This window comes from Homo sapiens, chromosome 15 (genome assembly GCF_000001405.40).
Source record: "Homo sapiens chromosome 15, GRCh38.p14 Primary Assembly".
NCBI lineage: Eukaryota > Metazoa > Chordata > Mammalia > Primates > Hominidae > Homo > Homo sapiens.
The window spans coordinates 42,887,743-42,913,883 of NC_000015.10; the positions used below are offsets into that span (position 1 = coordinate 42,887,743).

At 41.8% G+C, this 26,141-nt stretch overlaps 1 protein-coding gene across 6 annotated transcripts in view, besides 1 other annotated feature; it reads right to left on the reverse strand.

Moving 5' to 3' along the window:
- Nucleotides 1–26,141, reverse strand: part of TTBK2 (tau tubulin kinase 2) — a 182,271-nt gene that overhangs the window by 149,013 nt on the left and 7,117 nt on the right. Inside the window, exon 1 of one of the 6 annotated variants that reach the window (XM_047432191.1) lies at nt 10,553–10,570. The exons of the other annotated variants lie outside the window; for them this stretch is intronic. The gene's annotated coding sequence lies outside the window, so the exon portion shown is untranslated. Of the gene's footprint in view, nt 1–10,552; nt 10,571–26,141 lie in introns of those variants that run through there. 6 annotated transcript variants of the gene reach the window in all.
- Nucleotides 1,739–2,611: an enhancer, noted in NCBI's record as "H3K27ac hESC enhancer chr15:43181679-43182551 (GRCh37/hg19 assembly coordinates)". NCBI's record gives its function as "activates a minimal SCP1, AML or CMV promoter by ChIP-STARR-seq in naive H9 embryonic stem cells {active_cell/tissue: H9 hESC(naive)}" and the evidence as "EXISTENCE:reporter gene assay evidence [ECO:0000049][PMID:30033119]".

Genomic DNA, 26,141 nt, shown 5'->3' on the forward strand with positions numbered 1-26,141 from the left:
ATTCCTTTGCACCCTTCATCACAGTCTCTCTTCACTTTCACTTAGACTGACCCTGACACCCATCAGGCTCAGCAAATTACCTGGGCTGTACTGCCGCAAAGCTTCACAGACAGCCTCCATTACTTCAGTCAAGCCCAAATTTCTTCCTCATCTGTTACCTACCTCGGCATAATTCTCATGAAAACACACGTGCTCTCCCGCTGATCGTGTCCAGCTAATCTCCCAAACCCCAATCCCTTCTATGAAATAACAACTCCTTTCCTTCCTAGGCATGGTTAGTGCGGTCAGAATTCTTACACAAGAGCCGGGACTGCACCCTGTAGCCTTTCTGTCCAAACAACTTGACCTTACTGTTTTAGCCTACCCCTCATCTCTGCGTGCAGTGACCACCACTGCTTTAATACTTTTAGAGGCCCTCAAAATCACAAACTATGCTCAGCTCACTCTCTACAGTTCTCATAACTTCCAAAATCTATTTTCTTCCTCCCACCTGACACATATACTTTCTGCTCCCCAGCTCCTTCAGCTATACTCACACTTCGTTGAGTCTCCCACAATTACCATTATTCCTGGCCCGGACTTCAATCCATCCTCCCACATTATTCCTGATACCACACCTGACCCCCGTGACTGTATCTCTCTGATACACCTGACATTCACTCCATTTCCCCATATTTCCTTCTTTCCTGTTCCTCACCCAGAACACACTTGGTTTATCGATGGCAGTCCAACCAAGCCTAATCGCCACTCACAAGCAAAGGCAGGCTATGCTATAGTAGCTTCCATATCTATCATTGAGGCTACTGCTCTGCCCCCTCCACTACCTCTCAGCAAGCCGAACTCATTGCCTTAACTCGGGCCCTCACTCTTGCAAAGGGACTATGCATCAATATTTATACTGACCCCATATCCTGCACCACCATGCTGTTATGGGCTGAAAAGTTTCCTCACTACACAAGGGTCCTCCATCATTGATGTCTCTTTAATAGAAACTCTTCTCAAGGCCTCTTTACTTCCAAAGGAAGCTGGAGTCATTCACTGCAACGGCCATCAAAAGGCATCAGATCCCATCGCTCAGGGCAACACTTATGCTGATAAGGTAGCTAAAGAAGCAGCTAGCATTCCAACTTCTGTCCCTCATGGCCAGTTTTTCTCCTTCTCATTGGTCACTCCTATTTACTCTCCTACTGAAGTTTCCACCTATCAATCTCTTCTCACACAAGACAAATGGTCCTTGGACCAAGGACAATATCTCTTTCCAGCCTCACAGGCCCATTCTATTCTGTCTTCATTTCATAATCTCTTCCATGTAGGTTATAAGCCACTAGCCCACCTCTTAGAACCTCTCATTTCCTTTCCATCATGGAAATCTATCCTCAAGGAAATCACTTCTCAGTGTTCCATCTGCTATTCTACTACTCCTCAGGAATTATTCAGGCCCCCTCCCTTCCCTACACATCAAGCTCAGGGATTTGCCCCTGCCCAGGACTGGCAAATTGACCTTACTCACATGTCTTGAGTCAGGAAACTAAAATACCTCTTGGTCTGGGTAGATACTTTAACTGGATGGATAGAGGCCTTTCCCACAGGATCTGAGAAGGCCACCGTGGTCATTTCTTCCCTTCTGTTGGACATAATTCCTCAGTTTGGCCTTCCCACCTCTATACAGTCCAATAACAAACCGGCCTTTATTAGTCAAATCACCCAAGCAGTTTCTCAGGCTCTTGGTATTCAGTGGAATCTTCATACCCCTTACCGTCCTCAATCTTCAGGAAAGGTAAAACGGACTAATGGTCTTTTCCCAAAAACTCGCCAACCAAGCAAGTAATTACGCTAAACCCCCTTGGGCAGTCTCTAAGTGGATGTCTTGGGTCCTCCCAATTCTTAGTCCTTTAATATCTATTTTTCTCCTTCTTTTATTCAGACCTTGTATCTTCCGTTTAGTTTCTCAATTGATACAAAACCGCATCCAAGCCATCACCAATCATTCTACACGACAAATGCTCCTTCTAACAACCCCACAATATCACTCCTTACCCCAATATCTTCCTTCAACTTAATCTCTCCCACTCTAGGTTCCCACGCCACCCCAATCCCACTTAAAGCAGCCCTGAGAAACATTGCCCATTATCTCTCCATACCACCCCCAAAATTTTTCGCCACTCCAACACTTCACTATTTTGTTGTATTTTTCTTATTAATATAAGAAGACAGGAATGTCAGGCCTCTGAGCCCAAGCTATGCCACCATATCTCCTGTGACCTGCACGTATATATCCAGATGGCCTGAAGCAACTGAAGATCCACAAAAGAAGTGAAAATTGCCTTAGATGATGACATTCCACCATTGTGATTTGTTTCTCCCCCACCCTTAAGAAGGTTCTTTGTAATTCTCCCCACCCTTGAGAATGTACTTTGTGAGATCCACCCCCTGCCTGCAAAACATTGCTCCTAACTCCACCACCTATCCCAAAACCTGTAAGAACTAATGATAATCCCACAACCCTTGCTGACTCTCTTTTCGGACTCAGCCTACCTGCACCCAGGTGAAATAAACAGCCTTGTTGCTCACACAAACCTGTTTGGTGGCCTCTTCATATGGACATGAGACAATAAGCATATCCATATGTTGTGAGGGTAGTGTATCCTAACTTCATGAGGAAAGAAACTCCTGCTCTGAGGATCCTTCCAGACTTTGCCCTATGTATCTCTTCACCTGTATCCTCATTTATATCCTTATTAGATAATAAACCAGTAAGCATAAATGAAGTGTTTTCCTGAGTTCTGAGAGCCATTCTAGCAAATTGCACTTCTCTGTCATTTGCCAGAAGTATTCAGTATAGTAGTAAGAACAGTTTATTTTTTCCTATCTTACATTTTTGTGTCAGAGGATTGGTATTCATTTCCAAATTCCTGGCAGTGCTTGGAATTTCCTAAGTGATATGAATGCCTTTGTTATGCTAATGAAGTGACTCCAAGCTTCAGGATGGGGGCTGTCACCTGAAAGCATATGACTACATGACTAGAACCTTCATCTCCACCTCCCAACTTCCAGGAAAAGAGTTACTAGTGATTGAGTTCAATCACATGGCCAATGATTTAATCAACCATGCCTACGTAATAAGCTCTTTTTGTTTGTTTTTTGAGATGGAGTCTCACTCCTTTTGCCCAGGATGGAGTGCACTGGCGCAATCTTGGCTCACTGCAACCTCTGCCTCCAGGGTTCAAGCGATTCTCCTGCCTCAGCCTTGTGAGTAGCTGGGATTACAGGTGTGCACCACCACGCCCGGCTAATTTTTTTGTATTTCTGGTAGAGACGGGGGGTTTTACCATGTTTGGCCAGGCTGGTCTTGAACTCCTGACCTCAGGTGATCCACCCACCTCGGCCTCCCAAAGTGCTGGGATTACAGGCGTGAGCCACCATGCCCGACTTTTTTTTTTTTTTTTTTTTTTAAGAGATGGGGTCTCACTGTCGCCCCGGCTGGAGTGCAGTGGTGCAAACATAGCTCATTGCAGCCTCAAACTCCTGGGCTCAAGCAGTACTCCCATCTCAGCTTCCCAAGTAGCTAGACTACATGCATGTGCCACCACACCCAGCTCATTTTACTTTTTTGTAGAGACAGAGTCTGGGTATGTTGCCCAAGCTGGTCTTGAACTCCTAGACTCAATCGATCCTCCCACCTCAGTCTCCTAAAGTGCTGGGATTACAGGCATGAGCCACTGTGCCCAGCCCTGAACTCTGTATATTAAAAACTCTGTAAATCTTAAATTCAGCTGGATAAAAAAGAAAAAAAAAAACAAACTCTGAACTACAAGGCTCAGGGAGCTTCCTGGTTGGTGAACATACTGATGTACCAAGAGGGTGGTGTACCCTGGCTCCACAAGTAGAGAAGCTCCCGTGCTTGGGAGCCTTACAAACTTATCATATAGTCCTCTTCATCTGATTGTTCATTTGTATCCTTTATAATAAAAAGGTAATTTTAAGTATAGCACTTTCATGAACTCTGTGAGTCATTCTAAGCAAATTATTAAACCCAAGGGGATTGTGGGAAGGCCCAAACTTATACTCAACCAGGGAAAATTTGAGTGGCTTGTGGCTCCAGTCTGAAGTGAAGGCAGCTTTGTGGGACTGAGCCCTGTAACCTGTGAGGTCTGCATTAACTTGACGCAATTAGTGACAGAATTAAAGCGAATTATAGGACACCCAGATGATGTCAGTGAACTTAATCAAAAACAACCATCAAACAACTGGAACTGACATTTACAGAACACTCCACCCAACAAAAGTGGAATACACATTCAAACTCACAAGGAACGTACACCAAAAGACTATATAATATCCCAGGTCACAAAACAAATTTTGCAAATTTAAAAGAACGGAAATCATACATACTATGCTCTCTGATAACAAGCTAGTATATTCTAGCTTAATGTTATTAAGCTAGAAATCAATAACGGCAAGATAACAAGAATACAAACACTTGGAAATTAAACTATAACAACAGGGCAAGGTGCCTGATTTTTATATAAATAACACTTTATTGGAACTAAGCCATGCTCATTCATTTATATGTTGTGTATGGCTGATTTTATACTACTAGAGCAGAGTTAAATAACTGCAACACAGACGGTATTACACTTAGGCCTAACATATTTATTATTTGGACCTTTAATAAAATGTTTGGCTGGGCACGGGGGCTCACACCTGTAGTCCCAGCATTTTGGGAGGCCGAGGCAGGTGGATTGATTGAGCTCAGGGGTTCAAGACCAACCTAAGCAACATGGCAAGACACTGTCTCCACAAAAAATATAAAAATTAGCCAGGTGTGTGGCACTCATCTGTGGTCCCAGCTACTCAGAAGGCTGAGGTGGGAGGATCTCTTGAGCCAGGAAGTTGAGGCTGCAGTGAGCTGTGATTGTAAGACTGCACTCTAGCCTGGATGACAGAGCAAGACCCTGTCTCAAAAAAAAAAAAAAAAAAAAAAAAGCCGGGCACGGTGGCTCACGCCTGTAATTTCAGCACTTTGGGAAGCTGAGGCAGGCGGATCACCTGAGGTCAGGAGTTCAAGACCAGCCTGGTCAACATGGTAAAACCCTGTCTCTACTAAAAATACAAAAATTAGCCAGGTGTGGTGGTGTGTGCCTGCAATCCCAGCTACCTGGGAGGCTGAGGCAGGAGAAATCTCTGGAACCCGGGAGGCGGAGTATGCAGTCAGCCAAGATCATGCCACTGCATTCCAGCCTGGGTGACAGAGCAAGACTCTGTCTCAAAAAAAAAAAAAAAAAGAAAGAAAGAAAAAAAACCAAAATGTTTGCCAATGCCTGTTCCAAATAAGCCATGGTTAAAGACAAAGTCCCCAGGCAAATTAGAAAATATTTGAATTGAACAAAAAGGAAAATAAAACATATGATATGCAGCTAAAGCAATGGTTAGAGGAAAAACTATAGCACTGAAAGCTTATATGAAAAATGAGGCCAGGTGCAGTGACTTAGGCCTATAATCCCAACACTTTGGGAGGCCAAGGCAGGAGGACTTGAGGCCAGGAGTTCAAGACCAGCCTGGGCAACCTATCAAGACCCTGTTACTACAAAAATTTTTTTAAAAAACTTAACTGCATGTGGTGGGTGCCTGTAGTCCTAGCTACTCAAGAGGCTGAGGCGGGAGGATAATTTAAGCACAGAAGGTTGAGGCTCCAATGAGGTATGATCACTCCATTGCACTCCAGCCTAGGTGACAGAGATGCTGTCTCTTAAAATATATATATAATATTAAAATAATTTTTAAATTGAAAATAAGCACGGAAGTTTCAAATTAAAACTATAAGCTTCCACCTAGGGGGAAAAGACAAACAAACTAAACCCAAAACAAGCAGAGGAAACAAAAGACAAAATAATAACAATGAAATTAAAACCAGAAACGTCATAGAAAAAAAAAAATCAATGAGACCAAAAGCCAGCTCTTTATAAAGATCAATACAATTTATAACCTTTTAGGAAATCTGGGAAAAAAGAACTCACAAATAATCAATATTAGGAATGAAACAGGGGTTATCACTATAGACTCCACAGACATAAATATATAATTAGGAAACATAATGAACAACATTATACACAGAAAGTGAACACAGACAACCATCAAAAACTACAAACTACCACAATTCACCCAAGGTGAAAGGGACCTCCTTAATAGTCCTACTAAAAAAATATGGGCATGATATGGTTTGGCTGTGTCCCTACCCAAATCTCATCTTGTAGTTCCCATAATCCCCCACATGTCATGGGAGGGATCTAGTGGGAGGTAACTGAATCATGAGGGCAGTTACTGCCATGATGCTGTTCTCATGATGGTGAGTGAGTCTCATGAGATCTGATGGTTTTATAAAAGGCAGTTCCCCTGCACACGCTCTCTTGCCTGCTGCCATGTAAGATGTGCCTTTGTTCCTCCTTTGCCTTTCACTATGATTGTGAGGCTTCCCCAGTCATATGGAACTATGAGTCCATTAAACCTCTTTTTCTTTACAAATTACCCAGTCTCAGGTAAGTCTTTATTAGCAGTGTGAGAATGGACTAATACAGGCCTAGATTTTTTTTCCAATGGCAAATTCTACTAAACATTTAAAGAAAAAATGAAACAAATTTTATACAATCTCTCCAAAAAAGAAGAGGAAAAAACACTTCCCATCTCATTTTATGAGTCCAGCATTAACTTGATATTAAAACTAGTCAAAGGATGGGCATTGTGGCTCATGTTTGTAATCTTAGTACTGTGGGAGGCGAAGGCGGGTGGATTTCTTGAGCCCAGGAGTTTGAGACCAGCCTAGGCAACATGGTGAAACCCTATCTCTACAAAAAATACTAAAAATTAGCTGGACATGGTGATGCACACCTGTAGCCTCAGCTACTCAGGAGGCTAAAGTGGGAAGATCACCTGAGCCCAGGAAAGTCAAGGTTGCAGTAAGCCAAGATACCATCACTGCACTCCAGGCTGGGCAGCAGAGTGAGACCTGTCTCAAAAAGAAAACAAAAAATAAGAGACCCATATCCCTTATAAACACAAACATGAAAATTCCTCATAAAGTAGTAGCAAACTGAATCCAGCAATACATAAAACGAATAATACACCACAATCCGGTATGGTTTATCCTGGGGATGCAAGGCTGACTCAATATTCAAAAATCAATTCATGCAGTACAGCAGATTAATAGTCTAAAAATGAAAACCACATGACCTATCATTTGATACAGGAGAAGCATTTGACAAAATTCAATATTCATTCATGGTATAAAACTCTCAGCAAACTAGGAATAGAAGAGAATTTTCTAAACCTAATAAAAGGCATCTAAAAAAACAAAGTTCACACAAACTGTCAGTTTTAACACAATTCCAATTGAAATCTAAGCAGAATGTTTCATATAAATAAGCTGACTCTAAAATCTATGTGGATAAGCAAAAATTACCCAAAATCTTTATTAAAAAATAAAGTTGGAGGAAACACACTACATGATTTTAAGTCTTACTGTATAAAGCTACAGTAATCAGATCAGTGAGCTATCTGCAAAAGGACAGAAATATAAACACATGAAACAGAAAAACAGTCCATTGAGGGTACAGGGTAGGAAGTGGGTCAGGATCAACAAACTACCTATTGGATACTATGTGTATTACCTGGGTGACAAAATAATCTGTACACCAAACCACTAAGACACATATTTACCCATGGAACAAATCTACACATGTACCCCTTGGACCTAAAATAAAAGTTAGAAAGAAAAAAAATAGAATGTATACATCAAAAAGATTTTTTTTTTTTTTTTGAGATGGAGTCTCGCTCTGTCACCCAGACTGGAGTGCAGTGGCAGGATCTCAGCTCACTGCAAGTTCCGCCTCCCGGGTTCACGCCATTCTCCTGCCTCAGCCTCCCAAGTAGCTGGGATTACAGGCGCCTGCCACCACGCCCAGCTAATTTTTTGTATTTTTAGTAGAGACGGGGTTTCACCGTGTTAGACAGGATGGCCTCGATCTCCTGACCTTGTGATCTGCCCACCTCAGCCTCCGAAAGTGCTGGGATTACAGGTGTGAGCCACCACACCTGGCCATCAAAAAGATTCCATTACCACTATCTAATCCCAGAACATTTTCACCATCCCAAAACAAAACCCCATACCCATTAGCAGTCACTCCCCATTCCCTTCTTCTCTCAGCCCCTGGAAATCACTAAATCTTTCTGTCTGTATGGATTTGCCTATTCTGGGCCAAATGATATTTGACAAAGATGCAAAGGCAATTCAACACAGAAAAGACAGGCCGGGTGTGGTGGCTCACATCTGTAATCCCAACACTTTGGGAGGCCGAGGCCTCAAGTGGATAACCTGAGGTGAGGAGTTCGAGACCACCCTGACCAACATGGAGAAACCCTGTCTCTACTAAAAATACAAAATTAGCTGGGTATGGTGGCACATGCCTGTAATCCCAGCTACTCGGGAGGCTGAGGCAGGAGAATTGCTTGAACCCGGGAGGCAGAGGTTGCAGTGAGCTGAGATCGTGCCATTACACTCCAGCCTGGTGACAGAGCAAAACTCTGTCTCAAAACAATAATAATAATAGTAATAATAATAATACAGAAAAGATAGTCTTCTCAACAAATTATGTTGAAACAATTGTATTTCCATATGTAAAAAACAGAACCCCTGTCTAAATCTCACACTCTACACAAAATGTAACTCATAATGTATCACAGACCTAAATGTAAATATACAACTTTTAGGGCAGGCATGGTGGCTCACACCTGTAATCCCAGCACTTTGGGAGGCTGAGGAAGGACTATCGCTGGAGGCCAGGAGTTTAAGAACAGCCTAAGCAACATAGCAAGACCCCATTTCTACAAAAGATTAAAATAAAAACAATTAGCCAGGCATGGTGGTACGTGCCTGTAGTCCCAGCTACTGGGAGGCTAAGGCAAGAGGATCACTTAGACGCCAGGAAGTCAATGGCTGCAGTGAGCCATGATCACACCACTGCACTCCAGCATGGGCAATAGAGTGAGACCCTGTCTCCAAAAAAATAAAATAAATAAATAAAACTAAAAGATTTAACATGTAATAGGTTTACTATTATTAAAATTTTTTTAATTTTTCAGTTTTAGATTTTTTTTTTTTTGAGACATTCTTGCTCTTGTCGCCCAGGCTGGAGTACAGTGGCACGATCTCATTTTACTGCAACCTCCACCTCCCGAGTTCAAGCGATTCTCCTGCCTCAGCCTCCCGGGTACCTGGGATTACAGGCGCCTGCCACCACACCTGGCTAATTTTTGTATTTTTAGTAGAGATAGAGTTTCGCCATGTTGGCCAGGCTAGTCTTGAACTCTTGACCTCGTGATTCACCCGCCTCGGCCTCCCAAAGTGCTGGGATTACAGGTGTGAGCCACTGCACCTGGCCACTTTTAGTTTTTAATACAGTAACTATCAATAGATATAAATCTATGTTAAAGAAAAAGAATATTTAGAGTACCAATAATTTTTAAGATTAGTAAGACGTCCTGAGAGTTTGGGAATGGCTAGATTATGTAACAGAGATCTATAATCATTTTTTTTACTATTAATAACCTTGATTTATGGTATATATTTGAATGAGTGAACACTTTTTAATACTCTACTATCTGAAATTTTACCAATCATTCTTTCAATAAACAAACATTTGACAAGAACCCCGACAATAGCTGAAGGAAATACGAGATGAGTAAGTCATGCTCCCTAGCCTTTTAGACAGGGTGGGAAAAAGATCTGATCTCCAGGGCAGCCTGACACATTAAGTTGAGAAGGATCCTGAAGCAAAGTCTGGGCTAAAAGGAAAGGATGCCATTATTGATTAGCTGGTCTTGGAAGGACAATAGCAACATTCATCCATTCGACAAGTATTTATTGAGAACATAAGATGTGTTTTAGGCATTTTTCTTTGAATAAATTCACAAGGAAAACCCATACAAGACAGGAGACAATGATAAAAATTTGCAAGTTGGACAGAAGATGTACAAGAGGTAACTGATTTAATGAATCTGAGAAAACTGAACTTATACCAGTAGTGGTACACACACACACACACACACACACACACACACACACACACACGGAACTTCCAATCAGCTTCACTACTCAAAAAAAGAGATAACCATCCAGGCGCAGCGGCTCATGGCAGTAATCCTAGCACTTTGGGAGGCCAAGGCAGGCAGATCCATTGAGCCCAAGAGTTTGAAATCAGCCTGGAAAACTTGGTGAAACTCCATATCTATAAAAAGTATAAAAAATTAGCCAGGTGTGATGGTGCGTGCCTGTTGTCCCAGCTACTTAGGAGGCTGAGCCAGGGATGTCGAGGCTAACTGCTTATGACGGCCTTCTCAAGTAAATGGGTAAGGGGATGACAAACAACTCCTCAAATGAGTAATCAAGGTTCAAGTTGTCATGATAATGGTCGTTTAAACCACTCATTTTGCCATAACTGATCCATGACCAGACCAAACAGAAAATACTGTACTTCTGGCCAGGTGCAGTGGCTGATACCTGTAATCCAGCACTTTGGGAGGCTGAGGCAGGAAGATCACCTGAGATCAGGAGTTCGGGACCAACATGGCAAAACTCCGTCTCTAAAGAAAATACAAAAAATAGCCAGTTACGGTAGCATGCACCTGTAGTCCCAGCTACTCGGGAGGCAGAGGTTGCAGAGAGCCAATCGTGCCACTGCACTCCAGCCTGGGCGGCAGAGTGAGACTCTGTCTCAAAAAGAAAAAAAAAAAGAAAAAGAAAAAAAAAGCATTGACAGAGTCATAATAACTTAAACTCTAAGTACTGGCCTAACCAAAATTAAACTCTGAGTACTGGCCTAAACTCTGACTACTGGCCTAACCAAAATTAAGATATAACATTATTGGAAAAATAAAAGGATCTAACTGTGCATGTGTAGTAGGAATGAGATGGGCAGTGAAAAAGTTAAATCATCTTCCATAGTGGAAAGCTGGTAGATAATGACTACAACTGAAAAATTAATCAGCAGTAACACAAGCATCTTAGTTTGAGATGTGGAGGTAAATACCAAAAGTACTGAAAGTGAATACTTCCCAAAGGATGAAAATGGGACACAGTGGAGAAGCCAGAAGACTCCTTTTTCAATAACAACTTGTATATAACCATTAAACTTTTAAAATTATGTGCTGTTAAAACTCTAATAATAAAAACTAATTTTAAAAAGCAATTTGTAGAATTTTTTTTGGCAGGGGAGAGAGAGAGGGTCTCGCCCTGTCACCCAGGCTGGAGTGCTGTGGTGTGATCTCAGCTCTCTGAAAACTCCACCTCCTGGGCTAAAGCATTCCTCCTACCTCAGCCTCCTGAGAAGCTGCAACCACAGGCACATGTCACCTTGCCTGGCTAATTTTTTTCATATTTTTTTTTGTAGAGATGGGTTTTACTATATTGCCCAGGCTGGTCTCGAACTCGTGAGCTCAAGTGATCTGCCTGCCTCAGACTCCCAAAGTGCTGGGATTACAGGTGAGAGCCACTGTGCCTGGCCAATTTATAAAACATTTAAACATAAAAAGTTTCTCACACCTGTAATCCCAGGACTTTTGGAAACCGGGGTAGGCGGATCACTTGAGGTCAGGAGTTCAAGACCAGCCTGGCCAACATGGTGAAACCCCATCTCAACTAAAAATACAAAAATTAGCCAGGTGTGGCCGGGCACGGTGGCTCACGCCTGTAATCCCAGCACTTTGGGAGGCCGAGGCAGGCGGATCACGAGGTCAGGAGATCGAGACCATCTTGGCCAACATGGTTAAACCCTGTCTCTACTAAAATACAAAGAAATTAGCCGGGCGTGGTGGTACGTGCCTGTAATCCCAGCTACCTGGGAGGCTGAGGCAGGGGAATCACTTGAACCCAGGAGGCGGAGGTTGCAGTGAGCTGAGATCTGCCACTGCACTCCAGCCTAGTGACAGAGCAAGACTCCATACAAAAAAAGAAAAAAATTAGCCAGGTGTGCTGGTGGGCGCCTGTAGTTCCCAGCTACTCAGGAGGCTGAGGCAGGAGAATCGCTTGAATCCAGGAGGCGGAGGTTGCAGTGAGCCAAGATCACGCCACTGCACTCCAGCCTGGGCAACAAGAGCGAAACTCCATCTCAAGAAAAAAGAAAAGAAAAGTGCACTCTAGCCTGGGTGACAGAGCAAGACTCTGTCTCAAAAAATAAATAAATAAATAAATAAATAAAACTTTTATTTTCTCTTTTTTCAGATGGAGTTTCACTCTTGTTGCCCAGGCTGGAGTACAATGGCATGATCTCGGCTCACTGCACCTCCACCGCCCGGGTTCAAGCGATTCTCCTGCCTCAGCCTCCTGAGTAGCTGGGATTACAGGCACCCACCACCACGCCCGGCCAATTTTTGTGTTTTTGGTCGAGACGGGGTTTCACCATGTTGGTCAGGCTTGTCTCAAAACTCCTGACCTCATGATCTGCCTGCCTCAGCCTCCCAAAGTGCTGGGATTACAGGCATGAGCCACCGCACCCAGCCTAGAAAAGTTCTTTATGTTTTAAATTAAAAACATAAAACAGTACATATGTATGATCCCATTTCTATTAAAAATGTGTACACATAAATAAATTATGCACAGAAAAAACCTGAACTGAAATTTACCAACTATTAACAGTAGTTATAGGGCTGGGCATGGTGGCTCATGCCTTTAATCCCAGGAGTTTAGGAGGCTGACACAGGCCGATCACTTGAGGTCACTAGTTTGAGAATAGCCTGGCCAACACAGCAGCAAAACCCCGTCTCTACTAAAAATACAAAAATTAGCTGGGCATGGTGGTGCGTGCCTATAGTCCCAGCTACTCGGGAGACTGAGTCAGGAGAATCGCTTGAACCCGGGAGGTGGAGGTTGCAGCAGTGAGCCGAGATCGTGGCACAGCACTCCATGGGAAACAGAGCCAGACTCCATCCCCCCACCAAAAAAAAACAGTAGTTATTTCTATGTAGTATGGTTATTTTCTGGTGGATGGGGGAATTCCTCTTTTGTAAATTTACTACAGAAAACATGTATTTTTACAATTAGAAGGAAAACTTTTTAAAAGCTAAAATATTTAACTCTCCCATACATGGTCAAATGATTTTCAACAAGAGTCCCAAGATCACTCAATGGGGAAAGGAAAGTCTTTTCAACAAATGATGTTGGGGAAACTGGATATCCACATGTAAAAGAAAAAAGATGGACTCCTACCTCATACCATATACAAAAACATACTCAAAATGAAGCAAGGAACTAAACCTAAGAGCTAAAATTATAAAATTATTAGAGGAAGGCCGGGCACAGTGGCTCACACCTGTGATCCCAGCACTTTGGGAGGCCGAGGCAGGTGGATCACCTGAGGTCAGGAGTTCAAGACCAGCCCGGCCAACATGGTGAAACCCCATCTCTACTAAAAATACAAAAAATTAGCCGGGCGTGGTGGTGCATGCCTGTAATCCCAGCTACTCGGAAGGCTGAGGCAGGAAAATTACTTGACCCTGGGAGGCGGAGGTTGCAGTGAGCTGAGATCACACCATTGCACTCCAGCCTGGGCGACAGAGCAAGACTCCGTCTTGAAAAAAAAAAAATTATTAGAGGAAAACATAGGGGTAATGTATTCAGACAATGGATTTGACAATAATTTCTTGGATATAATACCAAAACAAAACAAAACAAAAAATAAATTTGGACTTCATCAAAATTAAAAACTTTTGGCCAGGCACAGTAGCATGTGCCTGTAGTCCCAGCTACTTGGGAGGCTGAGGTGGGAGGATCTCTTGAGCCCAGAAGTTCAAGTCCAGCTGGGCAAAATAGCGAGACCTCGTCTCTAAAAAAAAAAAAAAAGAATTTAATTAAAAAAAATTTAAAACTTTTGTGCATCAAAGAATACTATCAACAGAGTGAAAAGACAACCCACAAAATGGGAAAAAATATTTACAAATCATATATCTGATAAGGGATTAACATCTAGAGTACATAAAGAACTCCTAAAACTCAATCAACAACAAAATAACAACCTGGAAGAAATGAACAAAGGACTTGAATAGACACTTGTCCAAAGAAGATATACAAATGGTCAATAAACATGAAAAGATAGCCCCAACATCACTAATCATTAGGGGAAATGCAAATCAAAACCACAATGAGGGCCAGGGGCGGTGGCTCACGCTTGTAATCCCAGCACTTTGGGAGGCTGAGGCCGGCAGATCACCTGAGGTCAGGAGTTCGAGACCATCCTGGCCAACATGGTGAAACCCCATCTCTACTAAAAATACAAAAATTAGCCAGGCGTGGTAGAGCACGTCTGTAGTCCCAGCTACTAGGGAGGCTGAGGCAGGAGAACTGCCTGAACCCAGGAGGGAGAGGTTGCAGTGAGCCAAGATCGTGCCATTGCCCTCCAGCATGGGCAACAGAGCGAGACTCCATCTCCAAAAAAAAAAAAAACCAACCACCGCCAGGCGCGGTTGCTCACGCCTGTAATCCCAGCATTTCGGGAGGCCGAGGTGGGTGGATCACCTCAGGTCTGGAGTTTGAGACCAGCCTGACCAACATGGTGAAACCCCATCTCTACTAAAAATACAAAATTAGCCGGGCATGATGGCAGGTGCCTCTAATCCCAGCTACTTGGGAGGCTGAGGCAGGAGAATCTCTTGAACCCAGGAGGCGGAGATTGCGGTGAGCCGAGATTGTGCCATTGCACTCCAGCCTGGGCAAGAAGAGTGAAACTCCGTCTTATGTATATTAAAAAAAAACCACAATGAGACACCAGTTCACTTCCATTAATATGGCCATTATAAAAAATAAATATGGCAGGTGCCGGTGAGGATGTGAAAAAATTAGAGCCATTCTGCATTGCTGGTGGGAATATAATATGGGACAGTTACTGTGAAAAACAGTGCGGCAGTTCCTCAAATAATCAAACAGGGCCAGGCGCAGTGGCTCAAGCCTGTAATCCCAGCACTTTGCAGGGCCGAGGTGGGAGAATTGCTTGAGCTCAGAAGTTTGAGACCAGCCTGGGCAACGTGGCAAAACTGTCTCTACAAAATATACAAATATTAGCAAGGCATGGTGCCATGCACCTGTAATCCCAGCTACTTGGGAGGCAGGAGAATCGCTGGAACCCAGAAGGTGGATGTTACAGAGAAGAGAGATCGCGCCATTGCACTCCAGCCTGGGCAACAGAGTGACACTCTGTTTCTCAAAAAAAAAAAAAAAAGAAAGAAAGAAAGAAAGGGAATTCTTTTTAATTTTTTTTTTATTTGAGACAGTCTCGCTCTGTTGCCCAGGCTCTGTCGCCCATGAGCCACCGTGCCCGGCTGGGAATTCTTACCCATGCTAAAATGCAGATAAACCTTAAAGACATCACACTAAGTGAAATGATTCAGCACAAATGGATGAATATTATATGATTCCACTTATAATAGGTATCTAGAGTAATCAATTCAGAGACAGAAAGTAGAATGATGGTTACCAAGGGCCATGGTGAGGAGGTATTGAAAATTAGTGTTTAACGGGTATGGAGTTTCCATTTAGAAAAATGAAAAAGTCCTACAGATAGATGGTAATGATGGTTTCAGAACAATGGAAATGTACTTAAGGCCACTGAACTGTACACTTAAAAATGCTTAAAAAGAAAATCTTATGTATATTTTACCATAATAAAAAGAAAGTTTAAATTTTAAATAGGACTACTAGGCACTCCTCAGATGTAACTATAAAAGCCAAATAATTTTCACTATCTCACTCTAAATTACCAGTGGAAAAATCATGTGACAAATGGGTGGAGTCCTTCAGTACACTGAAATAAATCTAAGAATAGACTTGTCCCAATTAGGAACCGAACACTAGAAGAAAGACCAGGAATTCTATAAGACACCCAGGTTTGGCTGACTGCTTCTAAAAATGGCTCTCAATGACCCTCATCTCCTGCTATTGATCCTTTCCCTTAAGTGTGGGCTGTATTTAGTGACTTACCGCTAATGAACAGAATACAGCAAAAGTGATAGGATGTTACTTCCCAGATAGGTTATGAAAGACTGTGACATCTATCTTGCTCACATTCTCTCTCTCTGGCTCTTTCCACTTACTTGCTCTGATTAAGCGAGCTGCCATATCACCCTATAGAAAGGCCCACATAGCAAAGAATTGAGGCAGCTTCTGCTAGAATATTACATGATTCTGCTTATAATAGACCAATAGCTAGCAAGGAACTGAGGCTCTCAAACAAACTACAGGAATTGAATCCTGCCAACAATCATCAGAATGAGCTTGGAAATAGAACCCTCCCAAGCTGGGTCTTGTGATTGCTGCAGCATACCTTGATTGCAGCCTATGACTGATCCTGAAACAGAGTATCCACCCGAGTCATACCCAGAATCTTGACCCACAGACATCGTGAGATAATAAATGTTGTTTTAAAACACTAAGTTTTGAATAATTTGTTATGCAGCAATAGATAACTATATACCAGGCTTCACTGGTAATGGGGTGATAGTTTCTCAAAGTTATGCATGACCACAGGTTCCTTTTTTGTTCTAGATTATGGATTATACCTGAAAAATTAATAACTTAGCTACAGTACCAATATTGCCAAGAATTATTTTATATTTATTTTTTCAGTAAGATTTACAATAAAAAAAATCTTGGTGCAAGAACACTAGATACTGTAAGACAGAAATTAAATAAATTCCTCCTTGGTAATATCCTTAATGACCTAACATAGGAAGTAAATCGCATGCTAATGAATTCGGACAAAGATGCTAACTCTGGAGGTGTTGCCAAACAGACCCAAAGAAGATCAAAATATGGACAGAACATACTAAATGGAGATTCAACTTGTAAATGTAGAATAACATGTGGTGAAAAGTCATTTGAAAAAATTTGCTGGGTAGAAAAAGACTAAGAAAATAGCCAACAAATTAATAAGTAAACACTGACAATCACCTAGATTATAAACTCCTTGAAGATGAAGACCCATATCATAATGATTATCCTCTGCCATAACCAAGTATTGAGCTTTGCAGTTAATCAATAGATATTTGGCGAAGTTAATTAAAGGGCTCAAAATGAGACATCAAACTGTATATAATTTTTTTTTTTTTTTGACGCAGGGTCTTACTCTGTCGCCCAAGCTGTAGGGCAGTGGTACAATCTCGGCTCACTGCAACCTCAGCCTTCTGGGCTCAAGTGATCCTCCCACCTCAGCTTCCCAAGTAGCTGGGACTACAGAAACATGCCACCATGCCCGCCTAATTTTTGTATTTTTTGTAGACACAGGATTTCGCCATGTTGGCCAGGCTGGTCTAGAACTCCTGGACTCAAGTGCTATCCGCCCATCTTGGCCTCCTAAAGTGCTGGGATTACAGGCCTGTGCCACCACACTTGGCCCCAAACTGTATATAATTTAAGTCATATAGATTCACATATACAAATAGAGTAAAAAAGATAAAGTAGAACAAAAATAAGAATGATAAGAGGCACAAAGGGAAGTTTTTTGTTTTGTTTCGAGACAGGGCCTCACTCTGTCACCCAAGCTGGAATACTGTGGCATAATCCCAGCTCATTGCAGCCTTGACCTCCTGGGCTCAGATGATCTCCCCGTCTCAGCCTCCCAGGTAGCTGGGACCACAGGCACACACCTAGCTAAATTTTTGGAGATACAGGTTTTGCCATATTGCCCAGGCTGGTCTCAAACTCCTGAATTCAAGAGATCTTCCCAACTCGGCTTCCCAAAGTGCTGGGGTTACAGGCATGAGCCACCATGCCCAGCCAGGAAATATCTTTTAAATTGTATAGGAACTTCAAGAAACATAAGCCAGACCAAACAAGACTTAATGAAAAGAACTCCCTAAAAGAGTATTATCTGAGATATTAACATAACACTAAAGTTTATTGTCTTCTAACTCCAGGAACTCCTCACAAAATAGAGATTAAGACCAGACCACTGTACCTAGATTCAAATTCTGGCTATTGGGCCCATTAATTAACTTCTCTGTACCTCAATTTCCTCATCTATTAAAAAAAAGGGTAATGACAATCACTAAGCATTAAAAGTGCTAAGATATATGTAAAGTGTTTATTCATCACAGTGCCTAGTATACTGACTGTGCTCAATAAAACTGGCCGGGCATGGTGGCTCACACCTGTAATCCCAGCACTTTGGGAGGCCAACACAGGCCGATCACCTGAGGTCGGGAGTTCGAGACCAGCCAGACCAACATGGAGAAACCCTGTCTCTACTAAAAATACAAAATTAGCTGGGCGTGGTAGTGCATGCCTGTAATCCCAGCTATTCGGGAGGCTGAGGCAGGAGAATCACTTGAACCTGGGAGGTGGAGGTTGTGGTGAGCCAGGATCACACCATTGCACTTCAGCCTAGGCAACAAGAGCGAAACTCCATCTCAAAAAAAAAAAGCAGTCATTACTTATGTAATTCTGCATGTTTCCTAAACAACAGAAGAGAAACAGTCACATTCACAGACATAATACTGTCCAAAACAGTTCCTGTACCACTTGAATATTAAAGAAAATTACCATATTTGCACGGAGGCCCAGAATTGAAACCTATTATACAAATACTACTTATCAAATTCATATAAAAATATTTTTGTCAGCAAAAGAAAATTACCATACTAATATGATTACAAATTAAATTATACCATTTGCATTGTTATAATTTTGCTTTTAAAGTTATTAGTAATAGAAAAACCCCTATCTTTCACCATATACAAAAATCAAATCAAAATGGATTAAAGACTTCTTGAATCTAAGACCTGAAACTCTGAAACTACTAGAAGAAAACACTGGGGAAACACACCAGTACACTGGTCTAGGCAAAGATTTCTTGTGTAAAATCTCAAAAGCACAGGCAACCAAGGCAAAAATAGATAATTGGGATTATATCGAACTAAAAAGCTTCCGCACAGCAAAGGAAACAATCAACGAAGTAGACAACCCACAGAATGGGAGAAAATATTTGCAAACTATCCATCTGACAAGGAGTTAACCAGAATATACAAGGAGTGCAAACAACTCAATAGCAAAAAAAATTAAATAATCTGATTTTTAAATGGGCAAAAGATCTGAATGGACATTTCTCAAAAAAAAAAGACATTCGGGCCAAGAGCAGTGGCTCATGCCTATAATCTCAGCAATCTGGGAGGCCAAAGCAGAAGGATCACTTGAGCCCAGGAGTTTGAGGCCAGCCTGAGCAACACAATGAGACCCTGTCTCATTAAAAGAAAAAAAAAAAGAAATACAAATGGCCAACAGATATATGAAAAAATGCTTAATATCACTAATCAGAGAAATGTAAATCAAAACCTCACAAAATAGAGATTAATATGATATCATCTCACCCCAGTTAAAATGGCTTATATGAAAAAGGCAATAACAAATGCTGGCAAGGATATGGAGAAAGGGAAACGCTCATACACTGCTGGTAGGAATGGAAATTAGTACAGCCACTATGGAGGCGCTATAGAGGTTCCTCAAAAAAACTAAAAATAGAACTTCCATATTATCCAGCAATTCCACTATTGGGTATATATCCAAAAGAAAGGAAATCAATATAGCAAAGAGATATCTGCACTCCCATGTTTATTGCAGCACTATTAACAACAGCCAAAATGGAATCAACCTAAGTGTCTATCCAGATGAATGGATAAAGAAAATGTGGTATACACTGTGTATACACATTCAAAAGAATGAAATGCTGTTATTTGCAGTAACATGGATGGAAATGAAGGCCATTACATTAAGTGAAATAAGCCAAGTACAGAAAAATAAATGTTGTATGTTTTCACTCATATGCCAGAGCTAAAAGAGTAATCTCATGAAGATAGAGAGTAGATTGGTGGTTACCAGAGGCTGAAAAGGGGAGGGGAAGGGGGAAGAAATGGGAAAAAAAGAATATAAATGTATTTATTGTTACTAAACTGTACATATAAAATGGTAAAGATGGTAAATCTTATTTGCACGTTTTACCTCAATTAAAAAATTTTTTTGGCTGGGCATGGTGGCTCACAACTGTAAATTCAGCACTTTCAGAGGCCAAGGCAGATGGACTTGAGCCCAGGAGTATGAGACCATCCTGGGCAACATGGCAAAACCCCATCTCTACAAAAAAAAAAAAAATAATAATAATAATAATTAGCCTGGCATGGTGGCATGTGCCTGTGGTCCCAGCTACTCAGGAGGCTGAGGTGGGAAGATTCCTTGAGCCCAAGAGGCAGAAGTTGTGGTGAGCCAAAATCATGCCACTGCACTCCAGCCTAGATGACAAAGTGAGACCCTGTCTCAAAAAAACAAAGCTTTTAAAATAAAGTTAATAGAATTAGTTGATCAAAAAGGGAATAAAAATAAACCAATGCCACCTACTATTTTTAGACTGGCGAAAGTACAGATTAGGAGAGGCAAGGTGGCTCATACCTGTAATCCCAGAACTTTGGGAAGTTGAGGTGGGAAGACTGCCTGAGGCCAGGAGTTCAAGACCAGCCTAGGTAACATAAGATGCCGTCCGTAAAAATTTTAAAAATTAGTCAGGTGTGGTGGTGTGCATCTATAGTCCTAGCTATTCAGAAGGCTGAAGCCGGAGTATTGCTTGAGCCTAGGAGTTCAAAGCTGCAGTGAGCCATGATTGTGCCACTGCATTCCAGTCTGGGTAACAGAACAAGACCCTGTCTCAAAACAAAAAGTATAGATTAGTTCTCAAATATGTTTTAACTTGAAGCAAATTTTGAGTACTCACCCATATAAAGGAAGCATTATCATAGTTAATATCAAAGAAGAAAGTATTTAAATTAAAAAGTGAGGACTTTTGTACACCTCTAGTAGGAATATACTTTGTTGTTGCTTGTTGTTGCTTGCTAATCGTCCAGTGTACATGCCAAGGGAATGTACTTTGAAAATGGTATTGTACTGTATTATAAAAGAAAGCTGAAGATAATGCATACCCTGTGACTCAGCAACTCCTTTACTAGGTATACACCCTAGAAATACTTTTTCCCCATGTACACCAGCAAACAGGTACAAGAATGTTCATAGTCACATTGTCCATAAATGGTAAAAACTACAAACAACCCAAATGTCCAGCAAGAGAAGAATGGATAAATTATAGTATATTCGTCCTGTATATATATTCATATAGCAGCTTCTTACTGTTGCTGTAACAAATATGACAAATTTAGTGGCAAAAAACAACACAAATTTATAATCTAATAGCTCTAGAGGTCAGAAGTCTGTGCTTCTACTGGGCTAAAGCTCTAGGGAGAATTTATTTCCTTACCTTTTCTAGCTTCTAGAACCCACCTGAATTCTGTTTTGTTGTTGTTGTTGCTTTGCTTTGTTTTGTTTTTTAAGAGACAGGGTCTCACTATGTTCTCCAGGCTGGAGCGCAGTAGCTAGCTATTCACAGGCTCAATTCTTACACACTACAGTCTCAAAGTCCTGCGCCTAAGCGATCCTCCTGCCTCGCCTTCCAAATAGCTGGGAATACAAGTGCACCACCAGGCCCAGCTTGCCTGAATTATTTGGTTTATGGCCTCATCCCCCACCTTCAAAGTCAGTAGTATAGCATCTTCAAATCTCTCTCTGACTTTTGCTTCCATTGTCACATCTCCTTATCTCTCTCTGACAAAGTATATGCCTCCCTCTTATGAGCACCCCCTTGTGATTACATCAGACCCACCCAGATAATCAAGGAAAATCCTCCTCTCGCAAGAGCCTTAATTTAATCATATATGCAAAGTCTCTTCTGCCACATAAGTTAACATATTCATGTGCTGGGGATTATGACATGAACATTTTGGGGGGCCATTATTGCACTTACCGCAAAACTACGCTAAAAAGAAAATGAAGAAAATATTGCTATACTGAACTACATGAATGAATCTCACAAACTACACTGAAAAAAATTAAGCAAGACAAAATAATATACACAATATGAGCCCTTTTACATAAAGTCCAAAAATAAGCAAAACTAAACTACGTTAAATGGAGATGCAAACATAGATAGTAAGTCTATAAAGAAAAGCAAAAATATTATTATCACAAATATCATAAGAATGGCTACCTTTGGGGTAAAGAAAGCAGGTGAAAGCCAGGCAGCTTACACCTGTAGTAATCACAGCTACTAGGGAGGCTGAGGATCACTTGAGCCCAGAAGTTTGAGACCAGCCTAAACAACACAGGGAGATCCCATCTCAACAAAACAATACAAAACAAAACAAAAAAGGCAGGTGAGATCAGGAATGGGATTCTGAGATGCTGACAACATTTTATTTATTGAACACTGGCTTTATAATTATTCCTTAAACTGCACATGTATGTTTTATATACACCATGATTAATATATCTTATAAAAAGAACAGTAACAGATAATAGTTATATAAACCAGAAACAGAGAAAGCCAGACATAGAATAGATTAGGCAACAATAATCTAGCAGTGTGAGAGAGAGTAGAAGAGTGCCCCATCTACACAATAAAAAAAAAAAAGCCAGCTAACCTGTGAGTTGAGCATGAAGCAGAAATATAGGTTTGCAGTAAAGAAACAACCTTAGAAGCACGCACACAATTTACGTCCTCCTAATAGAGTACACATTTCTTGAGGTCAAGAGCATCTACTCATTCACTTCTACTCATCTAGCATCTAGCCTAATACCTACCATTGAACCTTTCACTAAATGAAATATCTTTCACCTCCCATACAGCTGAATGAAACTAAATAGTCCTCTGGCAAATAACTGGACAGTTGATTTGAAAATTTAACATATGCTCATTCAATAAATTGTCACGAATACAGGGAAGAGAAAAAAGAAGCATAATGCATAGCTTTGCCCTCAATGAGTTAATAATCAGGAGAAGAAAAGTTATTATTTCAAAAAATAATTATTTCCAAAATAGTCTTTGAATGAGAACACATAATACAAAAACAGAAATTAACAGTAACTATCTGGATGTAAAAGGTAAAAAAATAGGGGCCTGGCGCAGTGGCTCATGCCTGTAATCCCAGCACTTTGGGAGGCCGAGACAGGCAGATCACGAGGTGAGGAGTTCGAGACCAGCCTGGCCAACATGGTGAAACCCTGTCTCTACCAAAAATATAAAAATTAGCCAGGCATGGTGGCAGGTGCCTGTAATCCCAGCTACTTGGGAGGCTGAAACAGGAGAATTGCTTGAACCCAGGAGGCGGAGGATGCAGTGAGCTGAGATTGTGCCATTGCACTCCAGCCTCGGTGACAAGAGTGAAACTCCGTCTCAAAAAAAAAAAAAAACGGTGAAAAAATAGAAAAAGTTAACCTACATCAATTTGTAAGGGCCAAATGCATACAAAAAATTGAACGGGGAGGTTAATACTAGCTAGGATTGTCATACAAAGTTTCTTACAAAAGGTGGATATGATTTGTAGAAGACATCTGGTCGATTGCAAAATAGCCACACATTTCTCCCATTCCCGTACATACATTCCTTTGCAATGTGTCCTTGATACTTTGCAATGTGTCCTTGATACATATCCCATCGAGAGGTAGGACTGTGCTGGGCACTGTGGCACATGCCTAGAATCCCAGCTACTAGAGAGGCTGAGGCAGGAAGATTGCTTGAGCCCAGTAGTTTAAATCCAGCCTGGGCAACATAGCAAGACCTTGTCTCTAACAAAAGAGGTAGAACATTCCTTTGGTTCCTTTCTCCTTCTCTGAAACTGGGGTTGGCCATGTGATTTGTTTTGGCCAATGGGACATTAGCAAACATGACCCAGAACCCTGAAAAGTACTTATACACTGGACTTGCCCTCTTTTGCTACTTTTGGAGCCCAGACTCATGAGAAGAAACTCAAGCTAGCCAACTGCCTCATATAAATGAGAACAAACAAGACCAAAACAAGTACTATTCAGCTGAGCCTAAACTGCCAACCCACAGAACAGTTAACTAATAAATAATTATTGTTTTAGCCTCTAAATTTTGAGGTGCTTTGTTTCAAGGCAAAAGTTAACTAAGGAGGTATGCAAAGGCACAGAAGAGGAAATAAGCATAACATACAAGTGCATGGGAAAATAAATGATAAGATTAATCTACATCAGGGGTGTCCAATCTTTTGGCTTCTCCAGGCCACAGTGGAAGAACTGTCTTAGACCACACATGAAATATACTAACACTAACGATAGCTGATGAGTTAAATACACACACACACACACACACACACAACTACAAAAGCTCATAAAGTCTTAAGAAAGTTTACAAATTTGTGTTGGGCCACATTCAAAGCCGTCCTGGGCCACGTGCGGCCCATGGGCCGCTGGTTGCACAAGCTTGGTCTACGTGAAAAGGGTGCTTATTGGGAGAAAGAATACATAGGCCTGAAAGGTAAACTGAGTTCAAACTGCAAAAACCAGGCTAGGAAGAGGACAGACATCATTCTGTTTCAGTCGGCAAGGTGGCACAGGGTGGGCCTGAAGGCACCCCTTCAGGAGCTGGAGGATGATATAATGTAAGAGGAAAAAGAGTCCATTTAGAAGACTATTACCATCACTATTATCTCTCAGGCTAAAGTAATAAACTCCTACATTTAGGAGGGAAACTAGATAATTCACCAAATAGCAGTTTTATAACTGTCATATAGTTTATATAAGATTCTACTCTTTGGCCAGGCCTGATGGCTCACACATGTAATCCCAGCACTTTGGGAGGCCCCAAGGTGGGTGGATCACCTGAGGTCAGGAGTTCAAGACCAGTCTGGCCAACATGATGAAACCCCATCTCTACTAAAAATGCAAAAAAATTAGCTGGGCCTGGTGGCGGGTGCCTGTAGTTCCAGCTACTCGGGAGGCTGAGGCAGGAGAATTGCTTGAACCCGGGAGGCGGAGGTTGCAGTGAGCTGAGATTGCAAGATCGCGCCATTGCACTCCAGCCTGGGTGACAAGAGCAAAACTCCATCTCAAAAAAAAAAGTATCTAAATTGTTACATTTTAAAATAAAACAAGATCATGTGTAGAAACAAGTTTACAAAGAGTACACACCAGCTAAATTTTTCAAGGCATCTAATATACTAATAAGCAACATAGGCCGGGCGCGGTGGCTCACGCCTGTAATCCCAGCACTTTGGGAGGCCGAGGCAGGTGGATCATGAGGTCAGGAGATCGAGACCATCCTGGCTAACAAGGTGAAACCCCGTCTCTACTAAAAATACAAAAAATTAGCCGGGCGCGGTGGCGGGCGCCTGTAGTCCCAGCTACTCGGGAGGCTGAGGCAGGAGAATGGCGTGAACCCGGGAAGCGGAGCTTGCAGTGAGCCGAGATTGCGCCACTGCAGTCCTCAGTCCGACCTGGGCGACAGAGCGAGACTCCGTCTCAAAAAAAAAAAAAAAAAAAAAAAAGAGCTCCTCTGAAGAGTTAGTAAAAAGAAATGAAGATTTGTAAAGAACCCCATTTGCTGATGGCAAAAGAAGAGAAGGTAAGTTTATTCACCACTCACACTTCAACTGTTCTTTATCAACTTTCAGGGGAGGTAAATTATACTTTGGGCAACCTGAAATCTCTCTGAGCTCAATAAATCTAAGTAAAATATCTATTGAGAGAGGCTGGGCGTGGTGGCTCACATCTGTAATCCCAGCACTTTGGTAGGCCGAGGCGGGCGGATCACGGGGTCAGGAGATCGAGACCATCCTGATTAACACGGTGAAACCCCGTCTCTACTAAAAATACAAAAATTAGCCAGGCGTGGTGGTGGGCGCCTGTAGTCCCAGCTACTCAGGAGGCTGAGGCAGGAGAATGGCGTGAACCCGGGAGGCAGAGCTTGCAGTGAGCCGAGATCACGCCACTGCACTCCAGCCTGGGCGACAGAGCGAGACTCCGTCTCAAAAAAAAAAAAGTAAAGAGAAGCTTTACAGGTCAGTATGGTTACAATTACTGACAACAAAAGTGTAAACAACCTAGTTTTCCTCTCCCTGGCTACCATACTAGCAACACATAAACAAATTCTTCCCTTATAGGAAGTACAGTATAACTTACATGACCAGATTGTTAAGGAAAACACTACACATTCCTTGGGTAAACAAAATCATTCCTCGGGTAAAATCTACTATAACCAAATCAACCGAGCAAA